Here is a 25,523-nt window from a genome sequence, read left to right as displayed (position 1 = left end):
TCCAGTGCATTCTAGGGACACACCTAACCTCAAGCCAAGCCCGAGGCCACCATCTCAGCACCGCCCCCCAGGATGGCCCTGAAATTCCCCCAGGTCCAGGTGCATGTTACCCCCTTGATGCACAAACAGCCAAATGCAGCTCTACCCTAAAGGGGGGCACCCGGGAGGGGCTGGAGCTCACCCACAGCCAGTCTGTGACCACCATGTCACAACCTAGAGAAAGCAACAGGAGCCAGGGATGATGACCCCAGGAGGGGCCTGGGCAAGCCTCGACCCCAATAACACCCCCACTGCACACAGGTCCCGCAGAAGGCCCCACGCAGCTGCAAGTCCGAGGCCAAAGCTGTGTCCGCCTCCCCCACAGGCCTCGGGGGGTCAGCAGCCCCAGGGCACCTGGGAAAGGTTTGTCTGAGCTGCATCTGCTCACCCCTGGGGGGCCGCTGACGGCCATCCTCCTCTTGGGCCCCTTCGCTCGGTAGAGGAGGCATCTGGCTGTGGCCCCGGAGCTGTGCCTGGGTCATAGGAAGCCAGTCAGACATGACACAGGGCCTCTTCACGCCAGTACGATGCTGCTTGGGATGAGGCCGTTCAGGGTGGGCCCCCGCTCCTGCCTTTAATTCCTCGTCACTGCTCAAGCTCTGCTGCCCGGAGACAGGCCCCAGCGGGCCATGTGTTGTCAGAGCCCGGAAGGAGGGCTAAAGTTTCTGCATCTAGAAATACTGTGTCAGCCCCGCAAGCCCTTCTGCAACTGCCTCTGTTCATGTGTCTTGGCTGGGAGGAGTTCCTGGGCCTTGGGACAGCTGTTTGCAGACAGTCTCTTTGGGAGACGTAGACGGACACACACACACACACACACTCTGTCTCACACACACACACACTCTCACACACACTCTGTCTCTCACACACACACTCACACACACTCACACACACTCACACACACTCATACACACACACACAGAAACTCCCAGGCTGGAAAGAGCAGGGAGGGCAGGTGTCTCTGGAGAAAAGATTCCCCGGCCAGCATCAAGGACCAGGGCTCCCAGCTGGCCTTTCCTCAGTGAGATGTCACCCCACAGGCTGGGAATCTACCACCAGAGGCCCTGCTCCCCACCCAGCCCCATCCTCTCCATACACCAGGGGCCCTGCCCCCCCCACCCAGCCCCATCCTCTCCATACACCACGGGCCCTGCTCCCCCCACCCAGCTCCATCCTCTCCATACACCAGGGGCCCTGCTCCCCCCACCCAGCCCCATCCTCTCCATACACCAGGGGCCCTGCTCCCCCCACCCAGCCCCATCCTCTCCATACACCACGGGCCCTGCTCCCCTCACCCAGCCCCATCCTCTCCATACACCAGGGGCCCTGCTCCCCCCACCCAGCTCCATCCTCTCCATACACCACGGGCCCTGCTCCCCTCCCCCAGCCCCATCCTCTCCATACACCACGGGCCCTGCTCCCCTCACCCAGCTCCATCCTCTCCATACACCAGGGGCCCTGCTCCCCCCACCCAGCCCCATCCTCTCCATACACCAGGGGCCCTGCTCCCCCCACCCAGCCCCATCCTCTCCATACACCAGGGGCCCTGCTCCCCCCACCCAGCTCCATCCTCTCCATACACCACGGGCCCTGCTCCCCCCACCCAGCTCCATCCTCTCCATACACCAGGGGCCCTGCTCCCCACCCAGCTCCATCCTCTCCATACACCACGGGCCCTGCTCCCCACCCAGCCCCATCCTCTCCATACACCAGGGGCCCTGCTCCCCCCACCCAGCCCCATCCTCTCCATACACCACGGGCCCTGCTCCCCCCACCCAGCCCCATCCTCTCCATACACCAGGGGCCCTGCTCCCCACCCAGCTCCATCCTCTCCATACACCAGGGGCCCTGCTCCCCACCCAGCTCCATCCTCTCCATACACCAGGGGCCCTGCTCCCCCCACCCAGCCCCATCCTCTCCATACACCACGGGCCCTGCTCCCCCCACCCAGCCCCATCCTCTCCATACACCAGGGGCCCTGCTCCCCCCACCCAGCCCCATCCTCTCCATACACCAGGGGCCCTGCTCCCCACCCAGCTCCATCCTCTCCATACACCAGGGGCCCTGCTCCCCCCACCCAGCCCCATCCTCTCCATACACCACGGGCCCTGCTCCCCCCACCCAGCCCCATCCTCTCCATACACCAGGGGCCCTGCTCCCCCCACCCAGCCCCATCCTCTCCATACACCACGGGCCCTGCCCCCCCCACCCAGCCCCATCCTCTCCATACACCACGGGCCCTGCTCCCCCCACCCAGCTCCATCCTCTCCATACACCAGGGGCCCTGCTCCCCCCCCCAGCTGGAGCCTCTAAACTCTGTGGTACGGTGCTCACTCGCTCACTCCGCCTCTTTTGTACATTTCTCTTTCACTCTGTACATAACTCCCACTGTTAACCACGCCCTGTCCTCCTGGGCCACTTTGGGAGACTGGACACACGTAGCTGCCTGTCTCCCGTGGAGCATAGGAGAGTGTAGTGACGAGGAGTGTTTAGGCAGCACCTGTGGCTGGGCCTCCCCACGTCCAGAGGTCAGACCACCTTCAGGCTTCGAGTCTGAGTCACATCTGTGTTCCCAGTGCCTGGCGGGAGGCCAGGCCCGGCACTCCGAGTTTGTGGAATGACTAAATGAATATTTCTACCTGGAGGTGGTCACAGCCAGTGTCATGGGCAGCCGCCGCATGCCTGGAAGCTTCTTTCCAAGACGCAAGATGGAATTTGTAGCCAACAGCCTGCTGGGTGCGTCCACCGGACTCAAACCCATGCTCAGTCCCCCACTTCTCCAAGCTGGAAAGCCAGTGCCGGGTCTCCTAGGCCAGGTCAAAAGGGTTCAGCCCTGCAAGCGCCTGAGACCTCTTCTTCCAACGCCCTTGTTGACAGATGGGTACGCTGAGTTCCAGGAGGTGAGGGCACTCAGTCAGGTCAAACAGCAACAGTGGCTACGCCAGGCCCGTCGCTCTGTGGCTACGTGGTGTTTCCTAAAGCCGCACCGTTCCGCTGACCGTGCCAAGTGCAGGTACCGCCTCCCGCACCACTCTTCGCCTAACACACGTGCTTTCAGCATTCAAACGTAATTACACCAAAAGCACGAGAATAACAAAAGTAACTAAATTGGACGTCCTAAAATTAAGCTTGTCCTTCACATGATACCACATATGTGGTAAAGGTCTTGTATTTAGAACATGTAAAGATTTTTTTTTTTTTGAGACCGAGTTTCACTCTTATTGCCCAGGCTGGAGTGCGGTGGCGTGATCTCGGCTCACTGCAACCTCCGCCTCCCGGGTTCAAGCGATTCTCCTGCCTCAGCCTCCCGAGTAGCTGGGATTACAGGCATGCATCACCACGCCCAGCTAATTTTGTACTTTTAGTAGAGACGGGGTTTCACCATGTGGGTCAGGCTGGTCTTGAACTCCCAACCTCAGATGATCCACCTGCCTCGGCCTCCCAAAGTGCTGGGATTACAGGCGTGAGCTACTGTGCCTGGCCAAGACGTCTTAAAACTTAGTAACAAAAAGACAAATACCCCAACTGAACAAAATGGCAAAAGCTCTGAATAGACATTTCTTTAAAGAAGACACGTCAATGGCCCGTGCCCACATGGAAAGACACTCCAATATTAGTCACCGGGACGTGCAAGTCAAAACCACCACAAAACCCCCCTCCACCCCCACCGGGACGGCCGTCATCAAAAAGCCAGACAACAGCACACGCTGACGAGGAGGTGGAGAAACTGGAACCCGGGAACGAGCTCGCAGGGTTACACAATGGTGCAGCCGCTGCAGAAAACGGACAGTCAGTTCCTCAAACAGTTAAACGCAGTTATCACGTGATCCGGCAACTGCTCCCCAGAATACATCCAAGAGAGCTGAAAATACCTGCCCTGCAAAACCTCATACACGGTTGCTCAAAGCAACATTATCCTTGATTGTCAAAAGCGGAAACAACTCAAATGCCCGTCAACAGAGGAAAGAATGAACAGCCACACCTTGGAATATTACTTAGCCATGAAAAACAGGGAGGCACCTATGCGTGCTGCAGCACCGATGAGCGTTGGAACCACGTGTCAGTCACAAAGGACTATGCAATGCCGGACTCCAGAGCCTCAGAAACGTGTCACTCACAAAGGACTACGCAGTGGACAACTCCAGAGCCCTCCATGTCACTCACAAAGGACTACACACTGCAGGACTCCAGAGCCTTGGAAACGTGTCACTCACAAAGGACCACACACTGCAGGATTCCAGAGCCCTCCATGTCACTCACAAAGAACTACACACTGCACAACTCCACAGCCCTCCATGTCACTCACAAAGGACTACACACTGCACAACTCCACAGCCGTCCATGTCACTCACAAAGGACCACACACTGCAGGACTCCACAGCCCTCCATGTCACTCACAAAGGACTACACACTGCAGGACTCCAGAGCCTTGGAAACGTGTCACTCACAAAGGACTACGCAGTGCGTGATTCCATTTGTATGAAAATCCAGAATAAGTAACTTATGAATATCAAGAAGCAGAAAGTAGGCTAGTGCTTGACGGGGGCTGGAGGCGGACAAGGGGGTTGAGGAGTGATGACAGAATGGCGAAGGATTTCTCTGTGGAGTCACGGAAAACGGGCTAAAATCAACTGCGGTGATGAACGCACAGTTCTGAGCCGAAAGCCCCCAAGCTGCACACTTTAAGTGGGTGAATCGCATGGCTTGTGAATTATATCTCAATAAAGCTGACTTTAAAAAAAGAACGTAAATATCTTAACGTAACCCTAAAGCAAAAGCACCCAGGAGCGCTTGGGTTGATGTGCCGGCTACGTGCTTTTCAGCGACTATTAGAAACGGAGACCCTAAAACTTCCCCTGGTGATCCCGCCCCCCACACGCTGTGCAGCACCCCAGGCTGGCCCCCACCTCACCGCCGGCCCCTCACCTACACCCTCTCACCGCACATCTAGCACCTCGGAGGAGAAACACTGTGCTCTCTAATTCACGACGTTGTACTAGGAACTCACCGAGCCGTGATGAGCGCAGAGAGCAAAGTCCTTTACTAAAGAAAACTTTTTTTTTTGAGACGGAGTCTTGTTCTGTCCCTCAGGCTGGAGTGCAGTGGCGTCAGCTCGGCTCACTGTAACCTCCACCTCCCAGGTTCAAGCGAATCTCCTGCTTCAGCCTCCTGAGTAGCTGGGATCACAGGCACAAACCACCACACCCGGCTAATTTTTATATTTTTAGTAGAGATGGGGTTTCACCATGTTGGCCAGGCTGCTCTTGAACTCCTGGATTCAAATGATCCGCCAGCCTCGGCCTCCCGAAGTGCTGGGATTACAGCTGCGAGCCAGTGTGCCCGGCCTTTAAAGAGAACTATTAATCATGGATTTTAACTCATTAATGCTATGGTCATGAACCACAGCTGCTTTCGTATGCAAACCACAGCCTCTGCGGAAGAAGAAACGATCATCCCCCAGGCCCTGGGCACAGCCCCCATAGGTCATCAGGGGCGCCACTGGCTGCAGGACCTCCATCAATGACAGATCCAGGCCCCCTGGTTTGCAAAGGAGGGTCGGGCACCAGCCAACGCCCTAACCTGACCTGGGGGGCGGCGGTGAGAGGACCGAGCTGGGAGGTTTGCAAAAGGTTCGCACACGCCCGCCCGCCTGAGGTGTGGGGTCCCTGCCTCCGCCCGCCACGTGCCCTGTGGGAAGACGGAGTCCCGGACCAGCCTCTGGACGCCACGGCCTTGGACGTATCCTTTCCCTTTCCGGGCCTCAGTTTCCCCAACTGCAGCAGGCTTCTCAGGCCTGTTTCCTGGCTATGCTGTAACCCGGCCCCCACCTCCCCGCTTAGCCCACGCGTCACACTGGCCTCCCCGGGTGACAGCACAGCCCTGCCCAGCCCATCCGTCAGCAGCCTCGGCCTTCAGGCAAGCTGGGATGGCAGGGCCCTGACAAACGGGTCCTAGGGAGGGGGCTCTGGAGCCTGGCGCCACCTCTGCCCGCTGCAGGACCATGGGAGGTCCCCTGACCTCTAAGGTCAGCCCCTCATGTGGCCACGCTGGGGACGTGGGGTGCCCATCACGGTGGGGGGCTGGGGAGGTTTGGGGAGGCCTGGGGAGGAAGAGGTGGAGGAGGTGAGGTGGAAGGTTGGGGGCAGGCCGGGAGGTTGGAAGAGGCTGGGGGAGGTCTGGGGGAGGTTTCGGGAGGTTGTGGGGAGGCTGGGAGGAGGCTGGGAGATGTCTAAGGGGAGGCTCAGAAAAGGCTGGGAGGGTGGAGGAGGCTGGGGGGAGGTCCAGGGAAGGCATGGGAAGGTCCGAGGGGAGGCTGAGGGAGGTTGGAGGAGGCTGAGGGAGGTTGGGGGAGGTTGGCGGAGGCTGGGAGGAGGCCCAGGGGAGGCTGACGGGGGAGGAGGAAGGGAGAAGGCTGGGGGAGGCGGAGGGTAGGTCGCGCACCCTGGGCTTAAGGGGACACTGGATCCTGGTCCAGGAGGGTCTCTACTTTCCTTCTCTAAACCCCAGTTCTCTCGTCTTTACGCAGCGGTAAGCGTCACCTCCTATAACTCACAGGGCTATGTGAGGATGGACAAACATAAAGGCTTCTGTATATAAACCCCAAGCACAGGCCGGGCCCACAGCTACCGAGTGCCCACGAGACGCCGGTTCCCGCAGGGCCTGGGTTAGAGCAGCGGCTCGGTAAATGTCACCGTTCTCCAACCACAGCTGCACTTTCCACCTCCTCAGAGATGAGAAACGGGGCCTGAGGATTCACACGGACCATGAAATAGGGGCCGGACAAGCTGGCGCCCAGGAACACTCTGCTCTCTGCGGACGGGACACAGCACTCAAGGTCCCGTAGCTCGGCGTGACGGGGCCACCCCTCCAGGGGATGCTCCTGAATGAACCTGGAAACATTTGCGAGGCTGAAAAATGCTCCCACAGGTGGGAGGCGGGAGTCTGCCTCCCCCAGCCGTGCCCGCGGCTCGAAGCCAGCTCAAGGGAGATGAAGACGCCGCCATTCAGCGACTATTCCACTCCCATTACTGCCAGCGGAAGGGTCCACGCAGCACCAGGGGAAGCTGCCCAGGCTCATTTGTCTCCTGCCCACCCCCGGCTCCACACCACAGCATCCTGAAAGGAGGGGTCTTCAAACAGCTCCTTCACGTAACCCAGGAGACCCTCAGGTCTCCGGGCGACGCCATCTCTCCTGGCTGAGCCTCCTCAACCGGGGCAGAGGCCACGAGAGGCCCAAGGAGGCTGAGTTTCACATCCACGCACAGAAACGGGGAAGGAAGTGCTTGTGATCTCAGGCCCCCCGCAGGGCTGGGCCGTGAGACCCGTGGGGGCAGCGGATCAGCTCCCGTGCGTTCATCCCACCCCTGGTAGCAGCCCTCAGCCCCAGGCCCTGAGCTCTGATGGCCTCCGTGTAATTTTGGTGAACGGCTGCTCCCCGGCCCTGTGTGAGCGTGTGAGCGGGGATGCCCTCGGCCCGGGCTCAGGCACGGGGCTGTGACTCATCCACCGGCTCCCGGCAGCCCCGGGTCTGAGGCAGGACTCGTGGGTCTTGGGGGAAGACCGGGGCAGGGCCACCTCCCTCGGTCGAGTCCCTCCAGGACATCTGTCCAGAGAAATGAGAGGCCCAGAAACCGAGCCCAGCTGCAAACATCTGCCTCCAGCCACAACTTGCAAGCAGGCAGCTATATTTTGTTTTACCTGCAAAGTATATGAAGAGCTTCTGAATTAGTTACCACCAAGATTAAAACAGGAAAAAAAAATCCATATTTCTGGCTTCTCTAGAAAGTTGGAAATCAGGCCAGATGGCCAAGATCTAGTGAGCTGACAGGCCGCTGGCCCCTTCCTGTGGGACGCCTGCCACAGACCCCACCCAGCCCAGCAGCCTTCCTGGGGTGGCCAGGTGTCCACACACCCCTCACCACGAGCTGTCGCGTGCCACGGAGCGCTGTGTTATCGGTTTTGGTGACTGACACAGTTTCTATTTTATCCAGATCAGGGCACACTGTCCACTGGACCACATCCAGCCCATTTTGTTGCATAAATGAAGACTTATTAGAACTCAGCCTCCCCCATCACCACGTACTGCGTCTGGCTGCTTTGGGGCTAGGACCACCCGCTGAATAGTAGGGAGAGACCATACACCTGCAAAGCCTGAAATAGCTGCGTCCGGCCCTTTGTAGCAAAGGTGTGCGGGCTCCGGAGGCCTGCTGGGAAGGTGCGGACGTCACCTCTTCCAGAGAGGCATTCTTTGGTGTTCACATTCCAGGTTACTTGTTTAAAATACAAATGCTTATTCTCACAGGGTAAGAATAACCAGCAGTAGGTTTTCCGTCCTATAAAAAGGGAGGAGGTGGGGAGGCCGTGGGAGAGGAGAGAAAATGAGGCCACCTCTGTTGCTCGTTTGCCATGACGGGGAGAGTTGAGAGTGGTCACCCACAGTCTCCCCAAAACACCCTGGGAGGAGACACGGCCATCCCCAGCAGAAGCCCGGCGCCTGCTCGCCTGCAGCTCCAGCTCCTCACGCCCCAGCCCACAGGCCTCGGCACTTACTTCATGGGTTTGAACAGCGCTTGCCCGTAATTCTGGAAGGTCATGATGAGCTTCAGCTGCGTGCCCCCCGACTTCATGGCTGCAGGAAGGAGGGAGAGAAACAGGGTCACTCTCTGGCCTCACGCCCCTTCTTCTCCTGTGCGGACGAGGGCTCTTGGCTGCAATCCGGGTCCTCTGGGCATGGTCCAGGGGTCCCACTCTGCCTGGGAAGTTTGAGTTTTCTGCAGTGAAGCTCTCGCCTGGCTGATGGATTCTCTGCCTGATATTCAGGGTTGAGTACTGGGGTAGATCTCTCCATGCTGACCACAGACCCAAGGGCCTGACCCCTAGAAGGGACGGCCAGGTGTGCTTACCTGGACACACACGTATAAGCCACCCACATCAGCACACACCCCACACAGCCATGTACACACCCACACCCATGTACACACACCACACCCACACACTACACATCACACACACCTACATACACTCACACACATGCACCCACAGACACAGGGCCTGACTCCTAGAAGGGACGGCCAGGTGTGCTTACCTGGACACACACGTATACACCCACACACATCAGCACACACCCCACAGTCATGTACATACCCATACACACCTACACACACCACACCCTACAGTACACACAACACACACCTACACACCCACAGACACAAGGGCCTAATCTCGACGGGACGGCCAGGTGTGCTTACCTGCAGGCAACACCTCAAACACCCACTCACATCAGCACACACCTACACACCAACAAACACCAACCTACATTTACACACCCACAGACACCCCCCGACACACCCCTACATACCCCTGCACGACCACACACACCCACGCACCCCCCTGCCCCTGCCTAAGAACGGGGAGTGGCACCTCCCGCCCGCGTTTCTGGGGAGCTACAAGCAACCTGAGCAGGGTGACTTTGGGGAGACCTGGGGCTGAAAGCACCTGTCTCATGCGAGGCAGCTCCCGCCGCTCCGCAAGGACTCGCTGGGGTGTGGAAGCCTCCAGTAGCCTCCCTCCAGCTTTGGCCACCAGGAGGCTCAAGAACTCCCAATGGGACCCTCCTCCCACCACCTCGGGATTTCCTTTTTGCTGGTGGAGAAGGAAGGGGGCTCCGGGGGGTTCCCACAGCAGGGAAGGGGCTGGCCTCGGCCTGGGGCAGCCCCGGGAGCTAAGCTGGCCACAGCGAGGGCCTCCAGGTCGCCCGAGATGGGAGATTGTCACGCGCTGTGGACCGGTAGGTCCGGGCCACGCGGGGGATTGTCTGGTGTGAGGGGGCCTCACGGGGCCACACCAGGGACTGGTCACACGTCAACATCACGGGCCCGAACAAGAGCCGGGCATCCCTGCCGGCACAGACGTAAATGGAACGTGGTGGGGTGGCATATGCGACTGCTCCGGTGCAAAGGGGAAGAGGGAAGCGGGGCGGGGGCCCTGGGCGCAGCTCAGGAGCAGCCTCCCTAGGGAGCTAACATTTGAGCTGCTCTCGGAGCGAGGGGCAGGGCTGGCCCCGGCCCCACAGAGGACGGCATGACCCAGCAGAGGAAGCAGAGCAAACTCGGGCCCTGAAGGAGACAGTGAGCACGTGTGCGGGGCCAAGGGGACAGTGACCGACGCCTCACAGTGGATACGTGTGCGGGGCCGAGGGGACAGTGACCGACGCGTCACAGTGGACACGTGTGCGGGGCCGAGGGGACAGTGACCGACGCGTCACAGTGGACACGTGTGCGGGGCCGAGGGGACAGTGACCGACGCCTCACAGTGGATACGTGTGCGGGGCCGAGGGGACCGTGACCGACGCCTCACAGTGGATACGTGTGCAGGGCGGAGGGGACAGTGACCGACGCGTCACAGTGGACACGTGTGCGGGGCCGAGGGGACAGTGACCGACGCGTCACAGTGGATACGTGTGCAGGGCCGAGGGGACAGTGACCGACGCGTCACAGTGGATACGTGTGCGGGGCCGAGGGGACAGTGACCGACGCCTCACAGTGGATACGTGTGCGGGGCCGAGGGGGCCGTGACCGACGCCTCACAGTGGACACGTGTGCGGGGCCGAGGGGACAGTGACCGACGCGTCACAGTGGACACGTGTGCGGGGCCGAGGGGACCGTGACCGACGCCTCACAGTGGACACGTGTGCGGGGCCGAGGGGACAGTGACCGACGCGTCACAGTGGACACGTGTGCGGGGCCGAGGGGACCGTGACAGACGCGTCACAGTGGACAGTGAGCACGTGTGCGGGGCCGAGGGGACCATGACAGACGCGTCACAGTGGACAGTGAGCACGTGTGCGGGGCCGAGGGGACAGTGACCGACGCGTCACAGTGGACACGTGTGCGGGGCCGAGGGGACCATGACAGACGCGTCACAGTGGACAGTGAGCACGTGTGCGGGGCTGAGGGGACAGTGACCGACGCGTCACAGTGGACACGTGTGCAGGGCCGAGGGGACCATGACAGACGCGTCACAGTGGACACGTGTGCAGGGCCGAGGGGACCAGGGCCAACGCATCACAGTGCACGGGAGGGTGCAAAGGTGGGATGGGGGCTGGTGAGCCAGCAGGTCTCAGGGGGTCCCAGGGAAAGGGAAGGGCGGCCAGCGTGGGGCAGCAGGGCATGAGGGCCCCACACAGATTGTCCCTGGCTGCTGTTGCTGCCCTGGAGCCAACGGTGGACACTGGAGGTGGGAGAGGCTGGGGCTGCGGCAGCTGCAGGAGACGGTGGTGGTTTGGAGGAAGATGGAAAAATGGAAAAATCCAAGAAATATCTGAGGATCTGAGAGGTATCTGGTGGAGTGACGTGGGATGTGGAGCAGGGGGACGGCCAGAGAGGGAATGTCATGGAAGGAAGACGGAACCCAGCCAGCCTGGGATGACGGAGACGCTCCAGGGACCTCACGGCTCCTCCACGTGGCTGGAGGGCACGCGCGTGTGCTGAGGGCGTGGAGCTCGGGGAGGGCCCAGCCCTGCAGGAGATGGCGGGATGGGGGAGCTGCCTGCAGATGGGTTTGTAGGTTTGGTGGAAGAAAGCTCAGGATACTCCCTTCAGACGGGAAGAACTGACCCAGAGGAACCGAGGTCTCAGGTGGCGGCTGGCTGGGAGGGAGGGTCAGCGTGAGGACAGCGGGCTTCGTGGGGGGCCTGGGGGTGCCGTGGATGCTTCCCGAGGACACTGAATCCTCCAGGAAGGCCAGGAGCACGGGGGAGGGCGCAGACGAGAAAGCAGAGTCCCCACCATCCACAGGGCTTCACTTGGGCACAAGGGAGGAGCTGGTACTGGCCCCAGGCAGGAGGGAGATGGATCCCAAGCCCGGCGCAGCCACAGAAACCGTCGACGGGCTCCGACGCGACCTCAGGGCAGTGTGCTCGGCCTCCTGCGGTGTCTCTGAGGGGTCTGCACCTCCCGCCCCTCCCCTCCTGTTAAATGGGGCCCAGTGCCCGAGTGCGGCGGCTCATGCCTGAAATCCCAGCACTTTTGGAGGCTGAGGCAGGAGGCTTGCTCGAGGCCGAGTGTTTGAGACCAGCCTGGGCAACATAGCAAGACCCCATCTCTACCAAAAAATTAAAAAATTAACTGGTGTGGTGGTGTGTGTCCGTGGTCCCAGCTACTCAGAGGCTGACGTCGTGGCGGTGCGTGTCCGTGGTCCCGGCTACTCGGGGGGCTGACGTCGTGGTGGTGCGTGTCCGTGGTCCCGGCTACTCGGGAGGCTGACGTCGTGGTGGTGCGTGTCTGTGGTCCCAGCTACTCGGGAGGCTGTGGGAAGACTGCTTGAGGCCAGGGGCTCAAGACCAGCCTGGGCAACAGAGACCCTGTTTCTAGAAAACAATGGGGCTCAGGACGTGGACGCCTGTCCCGCCTCCTTTCCAGGGTCCTGGTGAGTACGGTGGTGCCTCATGTGACCTGCCAGAAACTCGGCTGCTCCTGCAGAATGGGGGTGACACGCCTCATCCAGGACCACCCTTAGGACTACATGGGGGCAATGCTGTGAGTGCTCAGGACAGCAGTGGCGTGGGGGCTCACCACGGCAAGGGCCACAAGAGTGCCACGTCCCCTCCCCGAGCACCGAGAACAGCGGCAGTGTGGGGACTCACCATGGCCAGAGCCACACAGGTGCCACTTCCCCTCCCTGAACACTGAGAACAGCGGCAGTGTGGGGACACAGCACAGCGAAGGCCACACGAGTGCCACATTCCCTCCCTGAGCACAGAGAACAGTGGCAATGTGGGGACTCACCATGGCCAGGGCCACACAGGTGCCACTTCCCCTCCCTGAACACTGAGAACAGCGGCAGTGTGGGCGCTCACCACGGCAAAGGCCACGCGAGTGCCGTGTCTCTTCCCTGAGTGCTGAGAACAGCCGCAGTGTGGGGGCTCTCCACAGCGATGGCCACTCAAGCGCCACGTGCCCTCCCCATTTCTGATGGCTCTTGCTGCCCCTGAGCTCACAGCTCACACCCCGGGTCACGTGCCCATTCCCTCCAGGCAGCGTCTGCTCCAGCCACTACCCTGTCAGGAACCACGTTTGACAGGCCATGGTCAAGACTGGGGCTGGGCTCAGTGCCCTGGACCACTGCGCAGTCAGGTCTGCTGGTGAAACTCTCAGAGGCCGTGCCCTCCTCAGGTGAAGGAAGCAGCAACGAATCTCATTTCTCTCCAAAACACTGCACAGAACCTGAACGCCAGCCTCAGGCGGGCCAGCAGCTCGAGGCTCCGTAAACGGGCTCCATCCCGGCTTCTCACCGGGTACCGGGGGGTTTTCAATGACAGCAAACAGCGTATGATTTTACCAGTAAGCAAAGCAGCCTATTAAAAACTTAGACGCCATAACCATTTTCTTCTGAATACACTGCACGGATTTTTAACCTGGGATGCACGGATGGGCGCCTGAAGCTTGGTAGTTTTCTCCCAAAAGTAAAACCGTGGTTGACTTTAGTTTTCTGTTTTTTCCTTAACTGTGCTTTCTAAGTTTCTGCAATGAATAGTGACTACATTTTTTAGTAAGATAATAACGAAGTGACGATGAGAAAATTAGTAGCCGGATTAAGCCCCATTTGATGCCCCCATTTCCATTAGTAACTGGGGTCACAGGATTTAACAGTTCCTTCCTGGCTCAGGTGCGACAGCTCATCAGCTCCTTCCAGGGCTTGTAATCCCGGTTTGTAAAATAACAACATATTATCCAAATCTGGTCAGTTCAGTCCTTCTTCGTCTGGAAGCAGGTCCTATCTTCCTGGCCCCTGTGCTCAGCTGTGAGGCCAGCTCCTCCCCATGGAGCAAATAAACAATTAGAAATTAAAGGCATGAAGATCTCACAGCGACTGAGGACTCGGCTTCCTGTGGACCGTGGGCCCACCACTCAGTCTACCAAGTGGGTCTTCTGCTGAAAGACATTTGGAATTCTGCTCTAAAATCAGATACAGTCTCCTTGCAAAGACCGACACACAAGCTGCCCTGCGTCTCAGGCCTTCGGTGCTCATCGGGATGGGTGGGAGGTACAGACGCCCACCCTCCTGTCACTGATCGGGTCACCCCTGCCCTCCCACCCAGGAAGGGGCCAGCAGGTGGCAGAGCCAGGACACAGGCCAGGCCTTGAAAAAAAGGTGCAATTTTGGGTTTTCTTGAAGATAGACCAAAGTTCACGATGCTTGGAAAGCTCACCTCATTGGTGGGAGAAGCCCAGGCGTGTGGGCACAGGTCCTGGGGACGGGACTGACGGAGACGCCCTCCCAGATGCAGCCTCCCGTGCCTCCAGTGGACAGGGGTCAGTCAGAGCCTGCCCAACCCCAGCCTGGGGAGGGACCCACTGAGAGCTGATCCCTCTGATGCCCATGAAGCCGGCTGAGGCGGGGGCATCCTGGCACAGACCCCAAAGTCACCCCACACCGTGGACAAGTCTCAGAGACTCACCTGCTAAGCCCTCTCCCACCTACCACCTTCCCTCCATCTCCCTCTACACCTGCCCCTCCCCTGAAATCCAGGCCATCATGAAACCAACAGCACAATCAAACCCCAGTGGGCCTCTAGGCCCCAATTCCCAGTGCAATAAAAACATATCATGCAAATCTGGTCAGTTCAGTCCTTCTTCTGGAAACAGGTCCCGTCTGCACTGCTCTAATGGCCACCCGTCCTCGCTATGCACACAGGAAGATGTCCACGGGCCCCATTCCCCAGTGCAATCCCACCCAGCAGCCACCCATTCTCTCTATGCACACTGGAAGATATCCATAGGGCCCCCCCATTCCCCAGTACAATCCCACCCAGCAGCCACCCGTCCTCGCTATGCACACGGGAAGATGTCCACGGGCCCCATTCCCCAGTGCAATCTCACCCAGCAGCCACCCATTCTCTCTATGCACACTGGAAGATATCCATAGGGCCCCCCCATTCCCCAGTACAATCCCACCCAGCAGCTACCCGTCCTCTCTATGCACACGGGAAGATGTCCACAAGCCCCATTCCCCAGTGCAATCTCACCCAGCAGCCACCCATTCTCTCTATGCACATGGGAAGATATCCATAGCGCCCCCCCATTCCCCAGTACAATCCCACCCAGCAGTCACCCGTCCTCTCTATGCACACAGGAAGATGTCCACGGGCCCCATTCCCCAGTGCAATCTCACCCAGCAGTCACCCATTCTCTCTATGCACACTGGAAGATATCCATAGGGCCCCCCCATTCCCCAGTACAATCCCACCCAGCAGCCACCTGTCCTCTCTATGCACACGGGAAGATGTCCACAAGCCCCATTCCCCAGTGCAATCTCGCCCAGTGGCCACCCGTCCTCTCTATGCACATGGGAAGATGTCCACTGCCTTTCAAATAGGTTCTCCCCATCTGGAACGCTCTCCCCTTCCTGCCACCTGCCCTGAGCACCTCCCACCACTTAACCCACCAACTTTAGACCAAAGGTGACAGTCTGCTTCTTCCCCGGCCTCGCTGAAGAATCCTATCGCCCGGATATCCGTCAGTATACAGGACTCATTCCTATTGATTCATCATTATTAATCTACGTCACTAGTTAACATGGCTAGTTAATGTGATTAACGTGCACTAGTTACACAAGTTAACATGCACGAACAGAGTGCCCTGTGCCTTCATTATTTCATGTTGCTGTCAGCACTAAGAGTTCGGGGCCACACAGACCCTCGGACGCCACTGGGTTTTGCCCACAGTCTCTCCCCGGGTCACAGCACGAGACAGAGGCGATGTTCGTATGCAGTTGCCTCCTCAGAAGGACTCCAAGAGATGCTGGCATTTCTTATGAAATAAGCGTCTTACATAGAAAGATGGCTGCTGTCACAGAAATACTAATGGACTTTGGTGCCAGGCCCCAATCGGTGTGGCCTTAGGCAAGCCACATAACCCCAGACAGCTCCGGCAACCCACTGGGAAGCTCTAGAAGGAAGAACCCAGAGCAGGTCTGGAGAGACAGGGAGAGACGGCCCTGAAAGAGAGAGGTGTGTGGCCCGGGCCTGGGGGTCCCAACACCCCGCAGGGTGCTCATGGGGATGGAGACTGGGTGCAGCCACCACTCATCCTTGGTTTCTCGTGGGAGCAGGAACCCTTTCTAACAACAACCCCAACCTGACTTTAAATTAACCAGTTCCACCTCCTACAGACCTGTGGACCACAGAAACACATCCAGGTGTGAGATGCTGCCGTCAGCGTGGGCCCCCATGTTGCCGCCTTTGGCCCTGGTCATCTCGTCCGTCAAGAGGGCCAGCGTCTGTCCTTGGGGGTCACGGTCAGGCGGTCCCCCTGCTCTTCACAGCCACTGTCTGGCCTCAAGGGTCAGTTATTCCTGAAGACGAATGGGGACAGCTGTGTGTGCTGGAAGTAGGGCCTCACCCAAAGAGGGCTCAGATGTGGAGAATGTGACACCGGGAGAGCTCAGGTCACCCTGTTCTTCCCACCGCACACATCTCCAAGCCAGAGAGGTCTGCTCGGTGTCCCAGACCCCGGGTGCCCACACCCAGGCTCATATACCCATTCACCCTGGGCACCGAGGGACCTGGTTTTGAGGAAAAGGACATAGTTGGCCAGCAGTGGGCACCCTGGGGCTGGCATCAAGGAGGCTAGAACTGTGGGAACCTACTGCGAGGTAAGGGGCTGGAAGAGCTGGGAGCCTGCACCTGCTCTGGACCTGGATCTGCCAGTCCTCGACTCTCCTGGAGGCCTCAAGTGACAGGCAAGGCCCCATCAGCACTGCCCAAAGTCCCGTCCATCACACACCACCCTCAGGACACTTTCGCCAGAACCGCCTCCACCCCAGACTGTTATTTATTCCACGATTTTCTTCAAGGCCCCTTTTATTTTGAAAGATCTGTTTTTTAAAAGAAAACTGCAGCCTTGCCCCAGTGGGGACCATGTCTGCATCAGAAGGAAAGTCGGCAGGTGCGCATCGGGGCACACTCCTGCAGCTAGGGGGCTGCTGTCTCTGCTCAGCACGGGGAGGCCGGTGCCTGGGTGGCCCCAGGCCTCAGCAGCATGAGCTTTTGCTCCTCACCTTCCACCAGACGGCTGGGAAGGGAGTTGAGTGCGGACTGAGCTATTTGCCGCCTCCTCCAGGCTCCACTTGAAATCGTCCTTTGCAGGTGGTCATTGTCCTTCTTTCAGGATAACCCAAGGTCCCCCAGCCCTGGGGCCATGGGCGTCCAGCTAATTGGGCATCTTCCCTTTTCTCTCTCTAGGCCGGCCGAGCGAGGCCCTGGGACCGTGACCTGCAGGGGCAGTTGCCACCTGGGGTGGGTGGGAGGGGGAACAGTGGCCTTTCTGGAGCTGGCGCTGCCTTCCAAGGAGCCCTGCTCCCAAGGAACAGACACGGTGGCTGTGCCCTCCCAGGTACCTGCAGGCAGCTCCCTCTCGTGGGCTGACCCAGCGGAAGCCCTTTGTTCCTTGAAGCTCACCCGCTGGTTAGTCCTGGATTCTAGCTGGACTCATTCTTCCCCTTTTGGCAGATCAATCAGTGTCAAGAACTTTGGTCCTGCAGAGTCATTTTTCTTTGTTCAGGCATGTTCTCCCAACCACAGTCTTTGTCCCAATCTGGATGGAGCAATTATGAAGTCTGTATTTCAGTCCAGAAGCTGCCCGAATCCTCACATGCCAGTGGGATGTCATTCATTCTTTGCATCCATAATTGTGCATGATAGAAATTTAATTATCGCCAGCCCCAGCCCAAGGCACTGCATGCCCGATTTCAAGCTGAATAGAGGTAGATAATATCCCAAGACTCTTTAAAGGTGGCAATGGCCGGTTACCAGGCAGCCAGGAGCCCAGCTATAAATAAACCTCCGCTGGCCCTAACCAGCTGTGCTGTAGACCACGTGGCGCTCCATGAATTGGATTGGGTGGTTCTGAGCAGGAGAGATTTAATGGAACCGTTCCGAGGGAAGGCTTTGGAGACTCGCAGGCATCGTTCTCCATTACAACAATATTTCTGGGCTCACGTTTAATAGTAAGATGAATGACTTGAGATTAAAGTGAGCACCCAGGGGCCGGACAGCTGAGGGGACAGAACTCAGAGCCTGGAGCACGCAGGTGCTAATCTCGGACAAGCCTCCTGCCCTAAGAGCCTTGGTTTCCCTCGCTGTGGAGCGGTGGTTGGAAGGCAGGGCTGGCCTTTGAAGGCTACCCCTGTTCTTGGTTGCAGGACCTGTCTAGGGGCACCAGGCTCTAAACCTGCCTGATTGGCTTGGCCACGCCAAGGGCCTAGCCAGAGGCTGCTATCTCAAGCAGCTGGGTCTTCACCCAGATCCTCCAACTGGAAGTTCGTACTCAGAAGGGCCCTCGGAACAGCCGTGGCTGAGTCAGGCCAGCCAGGCAGCAGCAAGCGGGGTCAGCAAGCAGGTCAGCCCCCTTCTAGGACAGATCACATCCTCCTGGCCTAGGCCAGCCCTCTTGTGCCGTTCCCTGCAGACCAGGAGACCTGGACCTGGACATGGAGCAGCTCCCATGGCACACTTGGTTCACAGGTGAGGGTCCCCTGCTTCCTCAGGAAGACAGACCTCTTCACAAATGAGAACTCACCTGTGAGCATCTCCAAGCCCAAGGCAGCAGGGAGAATAGGGCCCAGCATCTAGACTGAGACCCTCATGAGGCTCAGGCACCTGCCCAGCCCTGGCTTCCCCAGATGAGAAGGATCAGCCCACCTTGAAATGCTGCTGCTGTACAAAGACCCCACCCAGTAGGAGAGCTTCCCCCAAAATGCTGCAGTGTTGGAGACCCTGCCCAGCAGGTGCGCTGTCAGGCTCCGCTCTCACCTCTTTACTCGTATTTGCACATTTAAGCCCCAACAACCCTGTGAGGCCAGATGTATTTGGGAACTGCAGGTATTTCGATGACAAAGGCACACGTGGTGCATGGTGTGGATCATGGCATGCCCACACGGGTCTAGGGCAGAACCCCATAATTAAACCCACTCCTGTTCCTCAGAGGAACATGTGACTATTCAATGTAACAGAGAAAAATCAGGACTTTTAACTAGCCTCGACAATTTAGGTTTTGCCCCTAAATACGTTCAGCCTGAGTCAGTTTTCGCTAGTGAATGGGTTTTGCTTGGCATTCAGATTTGTAAGTCAGAGTCCAGATTATACCAGGTCCAGATTATAACCTTCTCTGTGTTCTCGGTGAGAAACCAGGTGCTGGAGGCGTTAATCCATTTGCCCACTTCCACTCTGGCTAATGGCTGGCAGAGCCAGGATTCACCCCCAGATCTCCTGGGCCAGAGCCTGCTGTCCTGCCTGGGTGATGCGGCTGTGTCTGCCCATCGTCCTTGCAGGCCCTGCTTGGCCCTGCAGAATGACTGAGCAGCCAGCCTGTCCTTGGACGGGTCCCCACCCCAGAAGACTGGATGAGAACCAATGTGGCCAGCATGGTCTAGGAGGCGAGCGAGCGAGATCAGCTGGGGCAGGCCTTCAGTAGGCACAGGAATTAACCAGGACACACCCAGGCGGAGGCCACACCAGAATCCTGGGGTAGGGATTCCCTGGCAAGGGCTCTGTCCACACCCCTGCAATGTCAGGCAGCCTGGGCACCACTGCCCCGGGACAGCTGGACCAAAGAGGGGTGGCAGTGAGCCAAGCCTAGCTTGTCCAGATGGACAAAGCACTCCTAAGGTGGGCAAAGATGCCCCAGGTCCCAGGGGGCCCCACACTCTCCCTGAAGCTGCTCTGGGAGCTCCTGGCACAGAACTCCCACACCTCTTCAGTGTTGGTGTTGGAAAGCTGACCGGTCGGTGAGGGAGGTGGCGAGCTGCAGTTGCCTGCCAAGGGCCTGGTGGCCTTTGGAATCCACAAAGCCCTCCCTCTGCTCAGACCCTGCCTGTGCACACGAGGGGACTGTTGTGGAAGGCCACGCACAAAGTACTAGTTAATATTTAACAAGCTTGCTCACATGCACATCTCATCCTATCCTTGCATTGGTCCCACGCAGCGAGATCCCACTGGACAGATGGGGAAAATGAGCTGGAGAGAAGCTCATACGGACAGCGGCACTGGGGACTTTCTAACTTGCGTGCTGCTCCTCCCGAACGCCCTGGCTGGTGTGCACGGCTCTCTCATTCCTCTCCCTGCCAAGACGGACCCACCTGGAAGGTAAGCTGCCCGACAGACCCTGTGGAAGGTCCTCAGCCCCTCCCAGTGGAGCCCCCTCCTCTCCACACGGCCTGGCTGGCGTGCACGGCTCTGAAGTGCTCGTTCCTCCTCAGGATCGGGCACTGTGCGTGTGTGTCTCTTCCTGGGGCTGTCAGGTCCACAGAGGCAGCAGATCTCGTTGAGGCTGAACTCATCCTCAACTCCCCACCACCCAGAAAGGGGGTCTGACATGCAGGAGGTGCCAGTAAAATCTGCTGAATGGACAAACATGTTGATCAATGCATCGGATATTTCCTTAATGGCCATGCTCACTCTCAGGGGCAGAAGGGACGTTCTGGCTGTGGCTGTCTGCAGGACTGTTCCCCAGCACAGCTGAAAGCCCTCAGACCGCTGCAGGGGCAGGAGAAAGGCAGCGCTTTCACGGAGGGGGGCCTGGAGGGGGGCAGGGGTTCAGGTTACTCCCAGGCAGCATGGAGGGAAGAGGACTCCCAGCTTGTCCAGCTGATCTCTGTTATGAGGTGAGCTGATCAAGGGGTGGGGAGAGAGCTGCAAGTTCTGTCTCCCCATGACCAGGTGAGTGCCCAGCAAACAACTCAGCACCCGGCAGAGAGAGCCAGAAACAGCCCCGAAGAGCTCAGGAGAACCTACCTGCTGGCCTGAAAGGGGACACCTAAGTCCTGTGTCAGCAACTGGACAGAACCCCAGGCTGCTGGGACCCTTTCAGCACCAAGGTTGCTTCTGAGACACACATGAAGCTAATGCCTGGGACTGCTGGCCTCATCACACAGCGCAAAGAAAGCCCTGCCTTCAGGCTGTCATGGCCTCTGCACCTGCCCACAGCTGTGTGCACCCAGGCCCACTCCCTGCAATCCCCGGGGAGCAGCTGCTCCCACTAAAGGGCCTCAGCCCCGCCCTCACTACCTCTCCAAGCACTGGTGACAAATGGGACCTTCACAAACAATCGCCTACAAGCTGAGAACAATGGCACCAAACCTCCACGCTCAGAAGCTGCAGTGGCATATTTTCCTGAAATCAGCAACTGGATGCCCTTTTTTGTCCAATTCAGCAGATCCCAAAGTACCTGGAGATGTTGCCTTCAAACTCCTCCATCTGGGAGGCCCAGGCCTCCGTCCTGAGCCCTGCCTATGTCTCCTCAGTATGAAACTGCACAGCGCCTTGCTGAGGTCTGACGAAGGACGGCTTCAAAACCACAAGAAGCAGGCTCATGGCTGTCTCCCCACCCAGCCAGGGTCGTGTGTAGAAAAGCAGGAGAGTTCCATGCACACGCTTCCGGTGGAGGGGTCACCGCCGCCAGAGATACCCCTCTATTCCTCTACCCCAGGAGGGAAGGACTCTGTCATCCAGTTGGCACCCCCGGGACCACCCAGGTGAGGACGCAGAGCGCAGTGGACCGGCTGTCCAGGCGTCTCCCCGCTCATCGTGCGGCAGATCAGGAGCACATCCAGTGTGAGAGCACACGAGACGCGAGCCCTCTGTCCCTCCTCGCTGCCCGTGCAGATTGCTGCAGGAGGTGACGCTGCCGTAATGAGCAACGGCCTCCCAGACCTCTCTAACACATAGCCTGCCCCAGCAGCCCTGATGCCACACAGCCGGCACACAGACGGCCCTGAGTGCACCCAAGGACACCTACCCACGCTGGTGATCCTCTGGGAGCTGAGGTCGTGCAGCAGGGCCTCGATGGCCGGGTTGTGTCTGGAGTACAGCTCGTACCGGTTGATACCAATGTGGAACTTGAGCCAGTTGGGATAGGAGTCCACGGCCGCCTCCCCGGGGGAGAGGAATTCTGCACCTTCAGCACCCGCATGCGGCCTGCAGGGAGCAGCGAGGACGAACATCAGCATGGAAAGAACAGGCCCGTGAGTCGGATGACGGGGAGAGGGCACCGACGCCAGTGTTTTTAACTTTGGGTTCAAGCAAGTGCAGATGTGTTGAAGGCGCCTCTGCTTAAAGAGGGCCCTGCAACGTCTGCGCTTTCTTCTGTGGCCGCTCGGCTGCCAACTAATAACACGGTGAAAGGCCTGTAATTCTTACTCACCCTCTGGAGACACCACAGACAGCTCTAACTACAGCAAAACTAATTCCAGGACGTCAGCGCTGCCCTGCCATCCCCGCCACGTCTGTCCCAGGGTCACCGAAATGGCCCAACCATGACCTCAGCTGAGGGTGCGAGGGGCTGTGGCCCTCCCCTGGAGTAGAGGGGAGAACCTACCATTGACCACAGGCTGCATGAAACTCACAGACACGCCCAGTCTGTCAGGAACCTTCCCCAGCTCTCTGCTTTTGTTCCAACAACCAGGGGCACAATGATGCAAGAGGCTAAATTTGATTTTAATGAGAGCAGCCTTGGGTGGGGAGAGAGGAAGGAGGCAGCACTCTCTCCAGCCCAGGCTCCCATGGAGGACCCGCCGCCCACGCAGCCTGTCCTCACATCTCTGGGGTCAAGGGACCGTTCTGGAGGAGGGACAGACCCTCCGTCTGCCTGCTGGGCTGGAGGGAAACGCGGAACTTGTCCTAGCTCGAATTCACCTAAAGCTGAGGTGCTTTCTGCCGAAGCTCTGTCCTGCGGTGGACACGGGGGCGGGGTGGGGGGCTAGGATACACTTCCTGGCCACTCGCTGCTCTGGGCGGCCGTCTCTCCCTGCCGAGAGCCACAGCCCAGGCCAATGCTCTGGTTCTCAAATTTCCAAGCATTTCCTTGAACCTGACCAGCAGGCAAGGCTCAGAGGCTTCCAAACAGCCAGTGTGTTTAGACAGAAGACACTGGGCCTGGACATTTCAGGGAAGAAGGGACTTTCAACCAGATCTTTTGGAAGGCTGGTCTCCCCCTCTGCTGCTGGGGTAACCTTCGGCAGGTAGTTACTTATTCTGGCCTTGTCGTGGTTAATGTTCCACTGCTTCGGTGTAGCATCTGCTTGTTTTGATCTGTGTGGCGGAGGGAGGGGCCGGGGGGTGGGGAAAGGGCTTAGCCAGGACAGTTTAAAGAGAGGTTCCTGCCGTGGCTTCTCGCCCTTTATCGAGCCATCATCTCTTTGCAGCCAGCACACCCACCGCCCTTGCTGGCTGGGCCGCCTTGTTGCACCTCACGGCTGCCAGCAAGCCCCTCTGATAATTCTGCTCCAGCCACTGGGTTTAAAAGACTCAATAGGCACATCCAGACCTTCTCCAAGGTGCCCACCCAGAGCACCCTCGCCAAGTGTCTGAAAGCCCAGCGGCAGCCTGGCTCCTTCCCTCACCAACTCATTCATTCATTGCCTGACCCCATTTCCCAAGCTGGTGACCACGGCTGGTCAGGACTCGCTTCTAAAGGGCGCGGGGTCTGGCTTCCTCACCAGCAGCCACAGGGCACAGCTCCCGGACCAGCCGGCAGCCCCTCCCAAGGAGGAGGTTATTCTGGAGACAAAGGCAGCGCCCTGAGGTAGGCGGCTGCCTCCTCCCGCACCACACTCCCTGCCCGGCCTCTTCCATGGGGGGCGGCCCTCTGGGGCCCCTGAACCTCTCTACACCATGCCTTGGGCTCACGGCTCCCTTGGGGGTGGGCACCTGCCAGCCCCCACTCACCAGTCCGGGTTCTCCGCCGCTTTGGGGCTGAGCCTGGTGTCGCTGTTCACATTGAACAGGACGTCCTCCTCCGTGAGCGGCGGAACCGCCACCCGGTAAAGCGGGTGCTCGAACAGCCTGGCCAGGAGGGAGGCGTCTCCGCCGGGGCCGGGGGGCGACTCGGACCGACGCGGGCCGGGGTCTCGCAGCAGCGGCCGGTGCGCGGGGTCGTGGGGTCTTAGGGCGCCGGGATCCCGCCCCCGCAAGGCGCGCTCGGCCGGCTCGGCCGCGGGCGGCAGTTTCTCCAGCGAGTGGGACGAGAGGTTGGAGGAGGGGTCGGAGCTGAAGTCCTGCAGGATGCGGAGCGTGTGCTTGTTGGGCCAGCCCGCGTCGCCGGCGGCGGAGGAGGCGGCCGGGGGCTCCCCGGGGCGGCCCCGAACCTGGGCCCAGCCGGGCGCGGCCACCTCGGCGGCGGGCTGCGCGCACGAACAGCCGGGCTCCCCCGAGGGCCGCGCGCCGCGTCGCTCCAGCCTGGGCAGCAGGTCCAGGGCGATGTGCAGCGCGCAGGCCACCAGGAACACCATCAGGATGAGCACGCGGAACCGGCGCACCAGCATCATCTTCATGGCCGCGCGGGCCGGCCCGGGCCTGGAGCGCGTTCTGCCCGCGCGCCCCTCTAGCTGCAGCTGGGCACGAGCGCGGCGCCGCCTCGCGGGTCAAGGTCCATCGGTGCCGGGCGGCTACCAGCTCCGGGGCTGTCCCCGGGCCCGGGCCGCGTGCAGGGCGCCCGCCGCCGGAGCGCTGGGTCCCCGCGCCATCTCGGGCCCGTCCCCGCTCGGCCTCTCCGGAGCGGCCGCGCCCTCAGCCGGGGAGCCCAGGGGTCCTGGTCCGCGGAGCCGGGCGCGCGGGGGGCGGCTGGGGCCGCAGCAGGGGGAGGCTCGGCGCTCGCAGCCGCCGGCGCGGGGCTCATCGGGCGTGTGGGTCCATCCCGGCCGGGGCGCGACGGGCCTGGGCGGTGGCGGCGGCCGCAGGCGTCCCGATCCTCAGCGCGCTCCTCTCCAGGCGCCGGGCGGGCGGGCGGGGAAGGGGCGGCTCCTCCGGGCCGGGCTCTGCTCTCACGCCGCGCCCGGGAGACCGGGGCTGGGGGGAAGGGGGGGGCGAAGGGCGGAAGGGGTGGGCGCGGGGAGCGGCCGGCGGGGTCCCGGGCAGGTGCAGCGGCCGCCCCGAGCGCAGCTCCCGCCTGGCCGAGCCTCTCGGCGCCCCGCGTCCCGGGCGGGCAGATATCGAGCGCCGCGGAGCCGCCCCCCGCGTCAGCGCCCACAGATTGGCGGAGCCGCCGCCCCACGAGTCACGGCTGGGCCCGGGCCGGCTGCGCTCCCGCTCTCCTTCCTCCTCCCCTCGGCCGCGCCCCGCGACGCCTCTGAGCTCCGGGCCCGCTAAGGAGAGGGCTCCTCCTGCCCGCGGTTTGCAGAGGGAAGCGGCGGAGACCGGGAGGGCGCGCTCGGTTCTGGCCAGGCCAGCAGCTGCGGCCGAGTGGGGGGCTCCGGCCTGGCCGCTTCCTGGGACCCCCTCCCGCCCGGGGCCGCCGCCGCCAGCTGCAGCCTCTCGGCTCCTCCCCAGAGGAGCGCGGGGCCGGGGCCCAGGCCAAGTCCCTCCCCGGAGCCGCGGGGCGTCTGCGCCGCCGGATGAGCTCCCCGCCGGGCGGCGACCCCGTGCCCCACGCCCGTCTCGGCAAGGAGGAGGCGGAGGCGGCCCCGCGAGAGAGGCCCAAGGAGCGACTGGGCCT

General features: G+C 60.2%; 1 protein-coding gene across 5 annotated transcripts in view, besides 6 other annotated features; it reads right to left on the bottom strand.

Annotated features, from left to right (window-relative positions):
- FAM20C (FAM20C golgi associated secretory pathway kinase) overlaps positions 1–24,992 on the bottom strand; it is a 68,202-nt gene extending 43,210 nt beyond the window's left edge. For 2 of the 5 annotated variants that reach the window (XR_007060116.1, NM_020223.4), the window contains exons 1-3: positions 23,759–24,992; positions 21,831–22,009; positions 8,587–8,665 (exon numbers count right to left, since the gene is read on the bottom strand). Coding sequence is in view for 2 of the 5 variants with exons in the window: in NM_020223.4 (NP_064608.2) it covers positions 8,587–8,665; positions 21,831–22,009; positions 23,759–24,363 (863 nt within the window). In the remaining 3 variants the exon portion in view is untranslated. Of the gene's footprint in view, positions 1–8,586; positions 8,666–16,879; positions 20,431–21,830; positions 22,010–23,758 lie in introns of those variants that run through there. The other 3 variants (XR_007060117.1, XR_001744837.2, XM_047420625.1) reach the window with 2 other exon arrangements.
- Positions 2,777–3,354: an enhancer, noted in NCBI's record as "H3K4me1 hESC enhancer chr7:214209-214786 (GRCh37/hg19 assembly coordinates)". NCBI's record gives its function as "activates a minimal SCP1, AML or CMV promoter by ChIP-STARR-seq in naive H9 embryonic stem cells {active_cell/tissue: H9 hESC(naive)}" and the evidence as "EXISTENCE:reporter gene assay evidence [ECO:0000049][PMID:30033119]".
- Positions 10,181–10,830: an enhancer, noted in NCBI's record as "H3K27ac-H3K4me1 hESC enhancer chr7:206733-207382 (GRCh37/hg19 assembly coordinates)". NCBI's record gives its function as "activates a minimal SCP1, AML or CMV promoter by ChIP-STARR-seq in primed H9 embryonic stem cells {active_cell/tissue: H9 hESC(primed)}" and the evidence as "EXISTENCE:reporter gene assay evidence [ECO:0000049][PMID:30033119]".
- Positions 10,831–11,480: an enhancer, noted in NCBI's record as "H3K27ac-H3K4me1 hESC enhancer chr7:206083-206732 (GRCh37/hg19 assembly coordinates)". NCBI's record gives its function as "activates a minimal SCP1, AML or CMV promoter by ChIP-STARR-seq in naive and primed H9 embryonic stem cells {active_cell/tissue: H9 hESC(naive and primed)}" and the evidence as "EXISTENCE:reporter gene assay evidence [ECO:0000049][PMID:30033119]".
- Positions 12,139–12,307: a silencer, noted in NCBI's record as "fragment chr7:205256-205424 (GRCh37/hg19 assembly coordinates)". NCBI's record gives its function as "represses an EF-1alpha promoter that drives an FKBP-Casp9 reporter gene in an ReSE screen in HepG2 liver carcinoma cells {active_cell/tissue: HepG2}" and the evidence as "EXISTENCE:reporter gene assay evidence [ECO:0000049][PMID:32094911]".
- Positions 17,059–17,229: a silencer, noted in NCBI's record as "fragment chr7:200334-200504 (GRCh37/hg19 assembly coordinates)". NCBI's record gives its function as "represses an EF-1alpha promoter that drives an FKBP-Casp9 reporter gene in an ReSE screen in phorbol 12-myristate 13-acetate-treated (for megakaryocytic differentiation) K562 erythroleukemia cells {active_cell/tissue: K562(+PMA)}" and the evidence as "EXISTENCE:reporter gene assay evidence [ECO:0000049][PMID:32094911]".
- Positions 21,238–22,215: an enhancer, noted in NCBI's record as "H3K27ac-H3K4me1 hESC enhancer chr7:195348-196325 (GRCh37/hg19 assembly coordinates)". NCBI's record gives its function as "activates a minimal SCP1, AML or CMV promoter by ChIP-STARR-seq in naive and primed H9 embryonic stem cells {active_cell/tissue: H9 hESC(naive and primed)}" and the evidence as "EXISTENCE:reporter gene assay evidence [ECO:0000049][PMID:30033119]".

This window comes from Homo sapiens, chromosome 7, assembly GCF_000001405.40.
Source record: "Homo sapiens chromosome 7, GRCh38.p14 Primary Assembly".
NCBI lineage: Eukaryota > Metazoa > Chordata > Mammalia > Primates > Hominidae > Homo > Homo sapiens.
The sequence above is the reverse complement of the archived record's forward strand: the minus strand, read 5'-3'. Positions and strand labels throughout refer to the sequence as shown.